The following is a 12,115-nucleotide window of genomic DNA, read 5'->3' as shown; positions in this document are numbered from 1 at the left end:
CTGGGATTCATTCCTAGGCCCTTAATGCCATTCAGAGCCTGGATTTGTAGCCATGGTCCTGTATGGTGGAACCAATTCCCTGGGTCCTTCATGTAGAGAAATAGTTTGGGGCCTCTATGAAGTTAATTACCTCCTCCCCACCATAGTTTTTAATTTTCTCTCCTACTCCCAACTTTGGGAAAACATAGGGCAGAATCAAATGGCAGATTTGGGAGTGTTCTTGTAGAGAGAATATAGGGGATGGGAACTAGCATTGATCGAGCACCTACTCTGTACTATGTCCCCCTGGAGAACAAAAGCCCTTGTGGTTTTCATGGTCTGAGCCTAATCAGAAATATAGGTGGTGGGTCAATTTCCATTTTTATCTCATCTTGTTGCCTCTCATCTTAGTCTGGTCTTGCCTTATGACATTAAGCTCTTATTTCACAGTACAGGAAGTTGCTTCCTCAGCAGAGGTACTGAGATATACACTGAGTGAAAACCTGTTTGGGGGCTATGCACATCAGTCTGCCTTGTTGTAGCTCTCAGGACACTGTACTGGGCAGAAGCATGGATTGACAGCCAACAAATCTGGTCTACTGATAAGCCCTGAATCCAGGTGTCAAGGGGCTCTCCCAAGGCCCTCATGGCCTATTTCTCTTGTCTCATCCTTCAGCTCCCTGACCCAGTAGATGATCTGCCACCCACCATGTAAAAGGCAGTCCCAAAATGGTGACATCAACTTCTAAGTTGAGTTCCTTACTTCATTGATTCTAAGACACACATTTCCCCAGCATTTCAACATCTTTGAAGTTGGGATGTGTCCGCCAATCAATGATGACTTATAATGATAGTTAGCAATGTTTTTTTTTTCTTTCTCAGTAATATTTAAAATAATTGGTGTGCCAATCAATCAGAGATATCTTAGAATTGAAGAATACAGTCATGCCAATGCTCGTTTTATTTTTACCCCTCTATCAAATCAACACCTGGGCTTGGATCTCTCAGCCTTCACTTCTGAGACCTACAACAAAGAAAGGTGTTCTTTATGCTCATTGGTGTGACTCACCTCCCATGCCATTCCTTTAAGCAGGAGATGTCCTAGAAGTGAGGCTGGCCTGGGTCTCCAGGATCTGCTAACCCTGTTATCAAATTGTTATCATGATGTTTATTTTTCATTCCCTCCTTCCTCTATCTTATTAATAGTTTTATGGCATTGCAGGAAATTGCAAAGCAGGGGGTCATATTTTAAGATTTGTGGGCTCGCCTAAGTATTTATTTCCTTAAGTCTGATGTTAGTCGCCAATCACTCCACCATCCAGAAATGAGTTTGATTGAATTTTAAGTTTTCTATAAATGGAGTACCCATTTTATAATCTGCATGTGGGATTGGGCTGGTTTCCTTGATACTTGTCCTTTTGTATCTCTAATTTTAATTGGACTAATCATTAAGGTAATTTCTTTGTTCATGTTAGTACAGAAATTGCCTGGAGACATTAAAAGTCACTATTAATTATGTGTGCACCACACTTGATTTCCAGAAAACACGTGGCTTTCTCAACACATTTTGCCGGAAGCTATTTTCCCTGAAGGTTGTATCTTAGGGGACTTGATTTCACCTTATTTGAGAATAAAGGAAAACAATTAGAAATATCTTGAGAAAATACACTTCAGGGGAAGATAAATGATCTGTAGGACTCAAAAGGAGCATTTAGCTCTGATAATAACCTGCTGTAGGAACCAGAAGAATGTCAGAAAGCTGGTATCCTTAGTATACATGGTTCAAAAAGACATGGCTTCTAAGACATAGAGTCATGGGGGGAGAATAGACTAAGATGAAAGATCTGAGGTGAAAATGGATATAAAGTAAGGATAGTATGCAAAGTGATAAAATGTTTAATATCAGCATTAAAATCCATGTGAATTTTGCTGAATCAAAATCAGTGAAGTGGGAAATACTGACAAACTGTGAGAATGTAAGGAAAATGTCAACAACAGAATCAGTGAGAAGATAACAGTAGATTTAGAGAGCAGAGATCCAACATATAGATAACTGATGGTCCTGCAGGAGACACTAGAATAAGACTATTCTGACCTAAAGGGTGGGAATATGTTTTTCAGGGTTGGTGACCTGCCATAACAACAGCCTCAGAATCTCCAATCAAATAGATGCTCAGTGGGCTGCTTGCAGTGACTTCCCACTTTCTTCCATTTGGTGGCTGCGTCATTTCCTAGAGCCTGGGAGTTTCCACTGAATCCTCTGCCTCCAGCAGGGAGGCAAGGGAGGAGAAAGGGAGTGGAGAAGGCACCTCCACTCTTAATTGCCTTGGCTGCAGGGGATGCCATCATTTCTGCTTACTTTCTGCTGGCTTACATTCCCTAGGGTTCTGTCCAGACAAAAGCAGGCCTGGGAAACATGGGCGCCCAGGAAGAAGAGGAAATGGGTTTGGGGAGCACATAGCATTGTCTCTGACACATGGATATGCAAACATACACAGAAATATACAGAAGGTGAAATAGCTCTTTCCTTAATATCCCCGTAATCCAATAAGTGAAATGGGAAATACAAACTGTCAGAATGTAGGGAATATGTCAACAATAGAACTAATGAGAAGAAAAATGATAGATTTAGAGAACAGAGACCCAACATATGGTTAATTGGGGATCCTGCAGGAGACGCTAGAATACAGAATCATCGGGGAGAGGAGTGGACAGTCGAACAACATCTCTCCTATTTTTGCCATCCTGTTCTTAACACCCTATCATGGCCTGAGCCTCACTGCTCAGCTTTTGAGATGTCTCCACATGGAGATTCCGGAGGCCAGCAGTTCCCCATGTGAGCCTTTAGACCTCCCACCCTTAACATACTCCCTCTGCTTCCCACCATCTCCTCTCTCTGGGCCTACTAACTTTCCTCCTTCCCCTCCTCCACACCAGCACTCCCGAGTCTTGTTTCAGTTTTGAACGTTCACAGCTTCCCCAGTCTGGAGAGGGGAGGGATAGTGCAGGATTACCCTCCAGTTTAGATGCAAAGTGTTCCTATTTTCTCTTATGCCCAAACAGTGGGGGGAAATGCCCAGTAAAAAAAACCCCACAAAACAATTTCAACCTTAATTTGCCAAATGAGCATTTATTCCCACCTCTTATCTTATGGCTTAGGATATGGTTTATTCTATTAGACAAAAAAGGATACATACCCAATAGCTGTTTCCTTGATTTCTTGGTGGGGGGTGGTTGGGGATGGGGACAAGACAATCCTGTCACATGATCCAGTGAGTTACACTTCACCTTCCTATTGAAGGACAGATGCTCTCAGATTGGGCCAAAGAGCAGAATCAACTGTTTCATGTTTGAATTTGATTGAGGTGAAACTTTTCAAAATATAGCTCCACTGACTTGCCTGAAGGCCAAAGGCAGGCAAGGTGACTGCTTAAAAGTATCTGTGACTGGATTCCAGGACAGCCTGAGGTGGAACAGTGAATCAGGACAGTCAGCTCAATTAGACAGCCTTTTTGATGGGCTTTTATCTGCATAGTTTCCAAGTTTGACCTTTTTACTGAAGGCACTGAGTGTGGGAAGACTGAGCCCAGCCATCCTGCTAGCTCAGCACTGTCTCTCCATCACCAGGGCTTCCCCAACAACCCTTTCTTCCCTTTCATGAAGGCATGAGGTCCACATGGTTTTGTGATCAGTGGCAGAGGCTGCTGATGAGTGGGTTAAAGCCCAGTGCTGGAGCCTTGAGGTTAGGACCCCCTGGTGACCTTCATGAACCTATACCAGAGCACTGTACCCCAGTATTGTAATCGTCTCTCTAGAGCCGCCTCCCATGCCCCTGTCCTGGGCCTTTTGAGAAATGGGATTACGATTGCATCCCTTCACATCCCCAGTGGTGAGCCAGGTCCTGACCCATGGCAGATATTTTAGTGGAAGGATTGTATTGAGTCCAGATGAAGCAAGTCTCATAGGTGGCTGTACCCACACTGCAGTGACTGGCAGCCCTGGGAGTGCAGGTGGGTGACCCACCACCAGCTGTCACCACTGCAGCCCACCTGTCCTCTTGAGGGGCCAGCAGGATCTTCTTTACCTAAAAGCTAAGTTCACTTTGTCAGAGTGAGTACCAGAGGTGCCTACTCTCTTCCTTGCCTCCTAATCCCCATTTCTGTGCTGGGGAAGAGCTTGGTTCTGAGCCCCGCATGCCAGAAATAGGAAGTAGAATCATCCTTTCTGGTGCTGGCCAAGTCCTCAAGGCTTCTGCCAGGAATATAGAAATTGGGCTCTGGCCACTTGCTGATGTCCATTCCCCCACCTCCTACCAGGCCCCTGGCATCTGCTCCCCTTTGTTCGAATGAGGGGCAGAAAGTGTGGTGAAGTAACAGGAGAACAGGCTCTGGAACTAGAGGGGTTCAAACCCAGGTTCTGCCTTTCACCAGCTCTGTGGCCTGAATCAAGTCACCCAGGTTCCTGCAGCCTCAATTTCCTCTCCCGAAAAACCAGGATGCTGGGTCCTTCACTGCAGGGCTGGGCATAGCACTGGGCACTTATTGGAGTTTCACAGCTTTTGTTGATTGAATAATGTCTTTCTTCAGGATCTAACTCAGGACCTTGGTCCTCATTATGTGCACCCAAGGTTTCCAGTCTCCCTTCCCAACAAGCATTAAACACATTCATTTCTGATCACCTCAGCATTCATTGTTGGGGCCCTGTAGTGTGTTGCCCTTAACAGTTAATTACATATCTGCATATATGTGCATGTATCTATGTATGTTTCACTTGCATGCAAGTTTTTCAGGAATACGAACATGACTGTGGGCCTCTAGCAGGCAGGGCCATGTCTCATTTCTCCCAGCCATCTTCCCTCTCACATCCAGTTCTAGTTCTTGCTCACTCCCGGGCACCAACAGATACTTGACAAATAACTGTTTATTTAGTTAGAGGGTATGGGAATGATTCCAAGTCTGTAAGAAAGAATACTCAGTCCATTCATGCCACAACAATCCAATTCCTGGATAGAAGAACAGAAAAACGTTGCCTACCAACTATTAGGTTTGAGGTCGTTTGCTGGAGGACTTTTAAAATTCACTGGACTTCACTAGGAATGTTTGCACCAGGGATGCCCAGAAATAAGTACTTATGGGGTCTGCAGCAGTGAAGGAGTTAAAGGATTCTTCCAACTAAGGGGGTGTCTGGAGATGGACATAGACTTTACCATCGCTGTCCTGCCTCTTTCTCTCTTTCTTCTTTTCAACTATTTTTGGCTTAAATGATCACAGCAGTTAATACCTAATCTAGAACTTTGTAAAATTCAGAAGCATTTGAAAAAATGATGATAAGCTTTCCCCATAATCCCACCCACCAGAGGCATGAGCCTTCTCTTTATCTGAACACATCAGGCAGGGTGCGGTCCAGTCCCTTATTCAACTGTCTTCATTTATTCTGTAAAAGTAGCAGCAGCTCAGCCCTGACCATCTCCTCTCTCACTTGTGGGAGTCTCATTTAGGGATCGGTAAGTCTGGCTTCTGACTTCTAGCCTAAGTCCTGGAGCAAATGCTATGCCGTCCTTGTGGGGAGCTGATCCGTGGGGCCGGGGCCTGGGGCTTTCAGAGGCCAGGACTGCTGAGGGACCCATGGCCATGGCTGTTGGGGAGCACCTGGGAAGTGGCAGCTTGCGTCTTTCCACTTTGAGCTCTGGGTGCTGAGCCACACAGACTGTCTGTTCCTGTCTGGAGACTCCCCCACTGAAGTGGCAGGAGATGGCGCCTGCCTCTGCTTAGGGCACATGAAGCTTAAGCCGATTTTAACAAAAAGTCAGACAACTCGGGCATCTATTACTCCCCTTGTAGACCTTTTGTTTCTCTTATAGCCACAAGGAACGATCCATAGAAATGTGATTTCATACTCCAGTGGTTACATGTACTTGGTCTTCAGTGGGACAGGGAAGAAGATGCTTGGTGACAGGAAGCGTGTCTCATGATGTGTAGTCTCCAGCTGCCCTCCTACCAGGGCGAATCCCAAGCAGGGACTCTGCTGAGGGGCTGCAGAGGTGTGAGGAAGTGAGCTTGCCAGGCCTAGAGGGAGCTCCTGGGTTCCTCTGTGCAGAGAGGAGGGTCCCAGCTGAGGGAGGTGAGGGGGTGCTCAAGGGAGGAGGTGAGAGAGACAGAGAAGAGAGCAGGGCTGAACATGGGAGAGCCAAGGAGGTTGTTGTGTGTGATGCATGGTATGTAATATTACCTTCCTCTCTGTCTCCCCATAATTAATGTCGGATTTGTTAATGTAAGAGTTGCAATCTGTTGCTGGGTTCTGTCTCAAATTAGGCAAGAAGGGTGGCTGAGGGGCCAGCCACTCAGTTATATACCAAGACAAGAGGTGATTTGGGCACTGAGGCACCTGCCATGCACTCCTCCATGAACACTCAGCACCTTACCCTTCAGGGTCTGTCTCCTCACACTGTACCGTGAGCTCCCCTCAGTCCTCACTTGCTGCTGGGACCTCAGGGCTGGACAGGGCTGCTTCATTAAGCTGGCCCAGCTCTTCCCAATTTACCTTCAACTAACATTTGTTCAGCACCTAACTGGCACCAGGCCCTATGGCAACAGGGAGGATAGAGAAACGCAGAGACACAGGCCGCCTGCCAGGAGCTCACGGTAATAGATTGTTGCTGCCAGGCTGCAAGTGGAATGGAAGAGGCAAGTAAAAGTGATGTGAAAGCCCAGGGCGGGGGTGTAGGGGGCAGGCTGCCAGAGGAGAGGACACATGAAATGCAGGGAGGAGGTGAAGAGAGGAGGGTGTTCCTGGCAGACTCCAGCCCCAACCAAGAATCTGCTTTGTGCCTCTTGGGTCCTGGGAATAGCCCCTGGAGAGCAGGGCAAATGCAGAGAGGTCAGGGGGCTGGGAATAGAGGTGTCATCTGAGTCTCAGCCTCATCCTACAGGGTAGCTGTCCTCAAGGAGAAGGGGCTGGCAGAGAGAAAAACGCACAGCTCCCAGCTGGGCATCGATGGGCTTGGATTGTTAACATGGGGTGTGCATTTGGTTTGACAAAGCCCATTTGGATTTAACACTTTATATTTGGAAAATGTGAAAAGTATACCTGCCATTTTGGTAATAAAGGCTAAATTTGACTAGGTTTTGGTTGGAAAAGCAGGGCTTTAAAAAGAAAAAAAAAGGTTAAGGAACACGGCCACTAGAGACAGAGATGGATTTTTAGCAGGGCAGTGACAGGCATGGGCCAGGAAGGACTGTGGACCAGAGATCATTAAAGGATGGAGAGATGGAGGCATGATTCAGGGCCTGGCGCTGCGGGTGGAGAGATATTTAGGACATAAAACCAGAGACCTCAGTGACCAATTAAATGTGCAGGGCAAAAAGAGGGAGTCAAGGTGGGATCCCATGGTGGGATGCCTGGTTGGTAGGGGGCAGAGAGGAGGGGGCTGGGGAGGCTGCGGTGTGTGGTGAGCAGGAGTGATGGTCCATTTGCAGGTTGATTTTTAACGAGGCTGCAGGACACAGGAATAGGCAAAGGCCCCTGAGTGTTTTAATGTCCGGGTTCACAGTTCAGAGGGCAGCCAACAAGGACTAGAATGTACTGCCCTAACTCCTGCCGCCTCACAGCCCAGCTTGACTGCACACCAAGAGCAGGGGGCAGGTGGCTCTGAGGGGCTGTGCCTCTGGTGCTTTCTGAACCACCCAGGGGGTGTCAGGCATCTGTTTTCACTACATGGGGCACCATGGCTCACACTGTCCCTTGCATCTCTGCTCTGCCTGAGGGATGTGGGGGCTGGAAGCTGGAGAGAGCTAGGTTCTCAACGCATGTGCTAGGAAGCTGAAGTCTGCACAAGAGGTGATGCTGTGCTTGGTACAGCAGCTTCAGCAGGCTCAGAGGGTTCTGTCTGGCCAGGATTATCTAAACTCCCCCAGGATGGCAGCCCTGCTCTAGGTGCTGGGGCCTCTCTAGAGCAGCCCTGGCATTAGGCCTCTTTCTCTTCCCTTCTCTCATTAAAACTTGCTGATCTGGTGCCTGTCCTGCCTGCTCAGCCCAACTCCCCAATCAGAGATTTGACAGTTTCATTGCCACAGGACAATGGTTTCTAGCTAATACAATTGCCTCAAATACCTCTCAGGACTATTTTCATTTTAATTAGGGCGTAACACCATAACCCAAGGAATGGTGCTCTGGTGGGGAATTTCAGCAGCAATGGGGGTTGGGGTGGGAATTATTTTGTTCACTGTATATTTACATTGGGGGTCAATGTTTGCTTTCTTACAAGAATGGTGCAGGCTACTTCTAGGGGCAAAGGATGAATTCTATTAGCACACACAAAAAATAGCTGAGATTCTGAAAATTCAAATCTTAGCAGGTTGTGGCCACAGGGCAGCCTCAGACCTTCTGGGGAAGGAGAGGAAGCTGGTGTTTGAGGCTGCAAGATTGGTTCTTAGGGAGGGCAGTGGAGATACATCAGCAAACCCCACCCTGAGGCCAGCCCTGGAAGGGAGGCCATTGGAGAAAGGCAGCATCAAGTGGTGGCTAGGACCCTGTTCTAGCTAAAAATAGAACCTCTGGGAGAAGGAGCTCAGCCGGCACTGGATGTGCAGAGCACAGTCTCATTCTTAGAAGCAACCTGTTCCTAAGTAGATGGGCGAGCATCAGGACTGGGCTCAGGGACCATCTGGCACTGAAACACTGAGCCCCAGGCCCCCTGGCTGGATTGAGGAGGAGGCTGAGCCTTAGTGGGTGTGCAGGTATCCTGGATTCCCACAGGCACATTGTACCTACCAAGATGAGTTCTCCTTGTCCCTCATTGGTGGGACGAGTCTCTTCGAATGCCTCCACTCTGGACAGCATTGGGTCAGGGATGAAGTGAGCTGCCAGTGAGCCAGAGCCATGGGCAGGTGGCGGTAGGGTGGGGGTACTCAGGGATGCTGCCAGCCCTGGGTGAGACAGCCCCCAGCAGCTCTGGGTCAGAACAACAGGATGTCCAAGTGAAAATGGAAAATGATCACTTGTCATTACTTGTCTTTATTCTTAAACATTTTGACAATTAATGCTTTGAAGACCTTGATTCCTAGGAGTTTTGGAGTAGTAACTCACCCTAGTTTGTAAGGTATTAACAACTTTATATTCCTCCTTCAGTAGTACTTTAGGACCTTTTATCCAGGTATTAGCTGGGGCCTTTCTTCCCCTTGAACTCTGGGTGAAATGGCCTTGAATTCACCCATGGACAGCCTGTGCAAATCTAAAACTCTCCCATTTTCCTGGGATGCGATATTCTTCAGGCTGCTTCTGCGTCTTGGGCTGCATCCAAACATCACTCACATTAGCATCTGTGAGTTTAGCAGCTGTTAGTGAAGTGTTTTGGGGGTCTCAGGAAGGGAGATCCTCCCAGCCCAGCAACTCGCCACCACGTCTGGGCTCGTGCAGGAGTTCCACATTCTGCGCCCTCCACCAGGCCAGGGCAACCGCTTTCCCTGGAGGCCTTGCCAGCCAGCACTCAGCAAAGAAATTCTCCAATTCTTCTCTTTAAAAGGAATTTTGATCCCAATTGTAAAGATAATGCAGCTTTCTTTACCTTTTTTCTTTTGAGACAGAGTCTCACTCCCTCCCCCAGGCTGGAGTGCAGTGGCGCGATCTTGGCTCACTGCAACCTCCACCTCCCGGATTCAAGCAATTCTCCTGCCTCAGCCTCCAGAGTAGCTGGGACTACAGGCACCCACCACCACGCCCAGCTAATTTTTGTATTTTTAGTAGAGATGGGGTTTCACCATATTGGCCTGGATGGTCCCGATCTCTTGACCTCGTGATCCCCCCACCTTGGCCTCCCAAAGTGCTGGGATTACAGACATGAGCCACTGTGCCTGGCCTCTTTACCTTTTTAAAGGCATAATTTGCTTTTAAAATAAAAATTCATTTCAAGTTCATTTTAAGGAATTTCCCAGAAGCTCTTATAAATCAGGTGAAGAGTCATGGTGGTGCAGGCCCTGACACTTGTCGTGTTTGTGTTTTGCAGTTTCCACCTGGATGTTTGAGGTTGTGTAGATGTGGCCGGCACCCTTGAGAGTGGAGCTAGGGGGTGCAGACTGAGCAGTGAACAGAAGGAGCCTTGGACAGGGCTGGGCCAGCCTCCCGGTAAGTAAGCAGTAGTTTCTGGTGGTGACGGGGGTGATGCACACTTTTTGGCTGGGCCCATCACGTGAGGTACAGACAAGGCCCTTTGCATGAGGATGAGCTTCCAGACACTCAGGTCATTGCTATGAAGTCCCCTTATCCTGCTGACTCAAGACCTACCATAGAATCTGAAGGACCTTAGAAGTCACTAGTCCACCACCTGCCCGTGGTTCAGCAAGGACAGAAGCCCCTTTACAGCATCCTGTGCTCACTCTGACTCCCAGCAGGGAGAACTCCCCACCTGACAAGGCAGCCTGTTCCACCTTCCCATTACTGAGCAGCTCTTGCCCTTAGGAAGTTCTCCCCCATGCCCTCAGCTGCAATCTGCCTGTATGTAACAACCACCTGGTTTCCTAGTTCTGGCCTCTGAGGTTCTAGAGAACCAGCCTAATTCTTCTTCCACATGGCAGCCCAGCAGATGTTCTGGGACAGAATGATGGAGTGGAGAACTGCAGGATGTGGGGCTAGAGACAAACCTGGTTGAAATCATGATTCCACTGTTATCTGTGTGACCTTGAGCAAGTTTGTTAATCTCTTTGTGATTCAGTTTCTTTTTTTTTTTTTTTATTTATTTATTTTTTTTGAGACAGGGTCTCCCTCTTTCACCCAGGCTGGAGTGCAGTGGTGTGATCTCAGCTCACTGCAACCTCTGCCTCCCAGGTTCAAGCGATTCTCCTGCCTCAGCCTCCCAAGTAGCTGGGACTACAGGTGCACACCACCATGCCCGCCTAATTTTTGTATTTTTAATAGAGACAGGGTTTCACCATGTTGGCCAGGCTGGTCTTGAACTCCTGACTTCAGGTGATCCATCCGCCTCGGCCTCCCAAAGTGCTGGGATTACAGACATGAGCCACTGCACCCAGCCTATCTTTATTTTGTTCAAGTAAAACTGGAACAATAATATCGACCTCATAGATTGGTCCTGGGGGCGAAAATACATCATGAATAAAAGTTGCCTGGTAATATTATGTCACCAATTCCCTGTCATCAGTTGGCTGTCCTACAATTCAATTCAATTCTGACATGAACTACCCTAAGTTGAAGGGCACACAAGCTAACTACTACAAGATAAAGGACAAGGTCACCAATATGACCATCCCCACCTCAGGCACCAGCCACAACTGGGGTCCCCAGGTCACCCATGCTTCCAACTGACTTGGCTATAAATTTAGGAGTTCCCATGACCCCTCTTCAGGTTCAATAATTCATTAGAATGAGTCACAGAACTCACCGAAAGTATGGTACTTGCAATCATATTTCAAAGGGTCCAACTCTGGAACACCCACATGGAAGAGATGCATCCATAGGTCAGAGTGTAAGGTGGGGCGCACAGAGCTTCCGTGCTCTCTCCTGTGGAATCCAGGCCCATAACTCTCCCAGCACATCAATGTGTTCACCAACTAGGAAGTTCCCCCACACCTTGCTGTCCAGAGTTTTTTTTAAAAATCAAGGGGCATTTGTTACACCTTGCTGTCCAGAGTTTTTTTAAAAATCAAGGGGCATTTGTTACAGAGGCATGAGTGGTTAAATCATTTGCCACTTGTCTGGACTCAATCTCTAGCCCCTCTCCCCACTTTGGAAGTGGCGGGATTGGTGGGGGGTGGAGCTGCTGCTACAGGCTTCTAATCATGTGCTTGGGTTTTCTGGGGTGGCTAGACCCTTCCTTGAAACCAAGGGCCTATCATAGGTCACCTTATTAGTATAAACTCAGGTTCAGTTGAAAGAGGCTCATGATGAATAACAAAAGACATTCCTACTGTCTTTTGGGCATTTTAGGAATTCCAAAGGTTTTTGAAACTCTGTGCCAGGAACCAGGGACAAAGATGACATATAGTCTTTCTTATATCATACCTGGCTCATCACACGCTGGTCTCCTCTGATCTTCAGCATCCTGGTGAGCTTCTTTTTTGTGATATCGAGGTTGACCTGTTCCCATTATCTGGTTGGGAAACTGGGCATTCTCAGTCTTTTTCTGGAT

At 47.7% G+C, this 12,115-nt stretch overlaps 1 protein-coding gene across 6 annotated transcripts in view, besides 3 other annotated features; it reads left to right on the top strand.

Moving 5' to 3' along the window:
• The window catches only part of ADD2 (adducin 2), a 111,417-nt gene that overhangs the window by 45,037 nt on the left and 54,265 nt on the right, over positions 1-12,115 (top strand). For 4 of the 6 annotated variants that reach the window (NM_001617.4, NM_017488.4, NM_001185054.2 and 1 more), the window contains exon 2: positions 9,980-10,098. The exons of 1 other annotated variant lie outside the window; for it this stretch is intronic. The gene's annotated coding sequence lies outside the window, so the exon portion shown is untranslated. Of the gene's footprint in view, positions 1-5,415; positions 5,483-9,979; positions 10,099-12,115 lie in introns of those variants that run through there. One more of the 6 variants, XM_011532502.3, reaches the window with a different exon arrangement.
• Positions 8,830-9,385: an enhancer, noted in NCBI's record as "H3K4me1 hESC enhancer chr2:70940911-70941466 (GRCh37/hg19 assembly coordinates)". NCBI's record gives its function as "activates a minimal SCP1, AML or CMV promoter by ChIP-STARR-seq in naive H9 embryonic stem cells {active_cell/tissue: H9 hESC(naive)}" and the evidence as "EXISTENCE:reporter gene assay evidence [ECO:0000049][PMID:30033119]".
• Positions 9,386-9,941: an enhancer, noted in NCBI's record as "H3K27ac-H3K4me1 hESC enhancer chr2:70940355-70940910 (GRCh37/hg19 assembly coordinates)". NCBI's record gives its function as "activates a minimal SCP1, AML or CMV promoter by ChIP-STARR-seq in naive H9 embryonic stem cells {active_cell/tissue: H9 hESC(naive)}" and the evidence as "EXISTENCE:reporter gene assay evidence [ECO:0000049][PMID:30033119]".
• Positions 9,942-10,498: an enhancer, noted in NCBI's record as "H3K27ac hESC enhancer chr2:70939798-70940354 (GRCh37/hg19 assembly coordinates)". NCBI's record gives its function as "activates a minimal SCP1, AML or CMV promoter by ChIP-STARR-seq in primed H9 embryonic stem cells {active_cell/tissue: H9 hESC(primed)}" and the evidence as "EXISTENCE:reporter gene assay evidence [ECO:0000049][PMID:30033119]".

Source organism: Homo sapiens, chromosome 2 (assembly GCF_000001405.40).
Source record: "Homo sapiens chromosome 2, GRCh38.p14 Primary Assembly".
NCBI lineage: Eukaryota > Metazoa > Chordata > Mammalia > Primates > Hominidae > Homo > Homo sapiens.
Note: the sequence above shows the minus strand (reverse complement) of the source record. Positions and strands in the feature narration are given on the sequence as shown.